We start from the raw sequence: 3249 nt of genomic DNA on the forward strand, positions 1-3249 counted from the left end.
AATTTTCTGTTTCTCAGCTATTTTCCCCCACTCCACTTCTTTCTACCATCTTTTGCATTATTTGAACCTTGAATTTTTGGCTATACATCTTTGTATTATTTCTCAGTAATTGCTTTAGGTATTACAACATAAATACCTAACTTTTCATTGTCTAATATGGCTAATATTATACCACTTTATGTTAAATGTAGAAAACTTGCAACCATATAGCTCTTTAACCTGTTTGTCCTTCATGGTAAAATATCATATAACATCTCCATACATTGAAAATCCAGAGTAGAATGTTATAATTTTTGCTTTCAGCAGAACTTAAAAGAGAAAAATAGTGTTTTAAATTATACATATATTTATCATTTCTGTTGTTCTTTATTTCTAAAGAGTCCAATAATCTTGTGGTATTATTCCCCTTCAATTTGAAGAATCTTGTTCTATCATTTCTTGTAGATAATATCTGCTGTGGATAGATTTTGTTAGATTTTTTTTTTTCATTTGAGAATGTCATCCTTTCTCCATTTTTGATGGACATTTTTGCAGAATATGGAATTCTGGGTTGACTTTTATTCAGCAGTTTAAAGATGTTTTCCCACTGCATTCTGGCCCCCAATTATTTCTGATGGGAAACCCAGGGTAATTAAAATCATTGTTCCACTGTGTGTCATCGTTTTTTTTCTCTAGCTACTTTCAAGGTTTTTTCTTTATGTTTGGTTTCAAAATTTAGATTATAATGAATCCAGGAATGATTTTTATTTTTGAGGTTATCTTGTTTCGCAGTAGTTAATAACTGTGAAGGGTCTGAGATTTTTACCTTACCTGCAAGCTAACAATTTCATGGATGCTGGTAGAAGATACAATACTCCTGGGTAAGAGACAAAGGACTTTATTATTCATGGCACTGCAGGCAGCATGAGCTTCATATACTCATTGGTTTACCTGCCTCCAAAGTCCCATAGTGTGATATGGAGTAGCCCAGGAAAATGCTGTATGCGTAATAGAGTTGAATTATAGCTGAGGAAAGCCTGAAATTTGAGAGGGTACTGATAACAGATATACCCAACTTTTGCCTGAAAAAAGACATTATCTTTTATTATAATGGTCATGAAACAAATCTACCCTGTGCCTCAGAGGGAGATACTGTCTCTATTACTCAAGGTTATTTGCTATACAGACATGCTTGAAAATATAATCTGAAATGAAAGCTGATATAAAATGTGCATAAATGCCATAGAGAATTGTTTTCCAATAAGGACATGCTGGACTTCTTGAATCTGTTAACATATATCTTTTTCCAATACTTACTAAATTTTTGACCATGAGTGTTTTCAAGTAATCTACCTGAATCTTTTTCTCCTTTCCTTTTGGGATTCTAATGTCCTGTATGGAGACCTTTTGATAATGTCTCATGGGTCTCTAAGGCCTGCTAATTAAAAAATATAGTTTTATCTCTTTTCTTCAGATTAGATAATGATGGCAGCTGCAGCTCCAGATGGCCTGCTGCTGCCATCATGCGAGCTGCGGCAGGGAAGCACCACCAGGGTTGAGGAATCCATGGAGCTGGAAGGGAAAAGCAACATCCCTGCCTCTTCTGAATTGGGGTGGGAGCTCCCCAGGTGCCACAGCAGCCACCCAAATTGTGGCTACAGACTTAGGCCTCCCACTACATGGAGCAGGAAGAAGCTCCACCCACCAGAGCACAACTGCAGCCTCCCAAATTGCTCTTGGGGGCCGGGGAAGGCACCCCTGACCTTGCAGGCTTGGAAATGCCTGCTCCCACTGCCTGGCTTCTCCCTGCTGTCATCCCTGGCTCTGATCTTGGAGCAAAGTTGGGGCCAGGCCAGGGCACCATGAATGGCAGCAGGAGGAGATAGATTCCTGAGCAGAAGGGGGCAGGTCCCTGTTGAGGACCCACCTTCAGGCCAGGGGGAGCCTGAAGGCTGGGAGCTGGGCTACCTGTCCTACAGACCAGAGTGGGAATTTGTAGTGTCTTTTCTGGGCTTCCCATGGCTGTCAATGGACCAATCAGTGTGTACTTCCTCGCCACTGATGTCCATAAAAGCCTAAGTCTCAGCCAGAGCTGAATGGACAACAGGAGGACCAGTGGCAGAGAGGAGCTACTCTCTCTGCTGATAGCAGGAAATGTTGGGATGACCAACTACAGAGAGGAACTACCCACACTAGGGCCTCCTCTCTGCTGAGGTCTTCAGAGACTTGCAGAGATGTCTGGACTACCAACTGCAGAGAGGAGCAACTCACTACAGGGCGTCCTCTCTGCTAGGAGCTAGGAAGACAATGGGATCACCTGCCTGCAGAGAGGAGCAACCCATTCCAGGGCCTCCTCTTAGCTAGGAGCTGGGAAGACAATAGGATGACCTGCCTGCAGAGAGGAGCAACCCACTCCAGGGCCTCCTCTCTGCTAGGAGTTGAACACTTGTCAGGACACCTGGCTGTGGAAAGGAGCTACACGCTGTGGACCTCCTTTGAGCTATTCTGTTGCTCAATGAAGCTCTTCTTCAATTTGCTCACCCCCCACTTGTCGGCATACTTCATTCTTCCCGGTTGCAGGACAAGAACTCAGGACCTGCTGAATGGTGGAGCTAAAAGAGCTATAACACAAACAGAGCTGACACATGCCCCTTGCTTGCCACATTGTAGGTGAAGAGAAGAAGAGAAGAGCTGTGGCCCCTCATGGATACCAGACCTAGGAGCTTTCCAAGCCAGGGCTGTGACTCCCTCTTTGGGATCCTGTGGTACCTGGCATGTACAAGCTTCCAGGCACCACTGCATTCCCCGGTGCCAGCTGGGAAGCTGCTTGCAGTGTACCTGGTCCAGCCACAGCCTCGCAGAGAGCTGGTGTCCATGCTGGCACCTGGGGCACCTGACCAGCTGCAGCAGCCAGTGTGTCTGTGCAGTGGCTGGACCCTGCGCTTGCTCACACACCCCTCGCTGCTGCACACCTCACTCACCCTTGGCAGGTGTGGAAGCCAGACCGGTAGTGTGAGCTGAGCACAATCTGCCAGGCTGAATGGGTGGAATGCGCCCAGTGGACCCTAGCAAAGCTTGTGCTAAGGTGCCACTGGCCAGAGGTTTCAGGCCAGAAAAGTGACACCCCAAAGATCCTTTAACAATAACTTCTATTGATTCATCTTTGAATGCACTGATTTCTTTCCTCTCTTGTTTCCAAACTTCTGCTGAGCCCATCTGGTAATTTTTTAAATTTCAGATATTGTTTTTTCAGTTCCAAAATGTCCATTC

The sequence above is a fragment of the Homo sapiens genome, chromosome 6 (assembly GCF_000001405.40).
Source record: "Homo sapiens chromosome 6, GRCh38.p14 Primary Assembly".
Taxonomy (NCBI): Eukaryota; Metazoa; Chordata; class Mammalia; order Primates; family Hominidae; genus Homo; species Homo sapiens.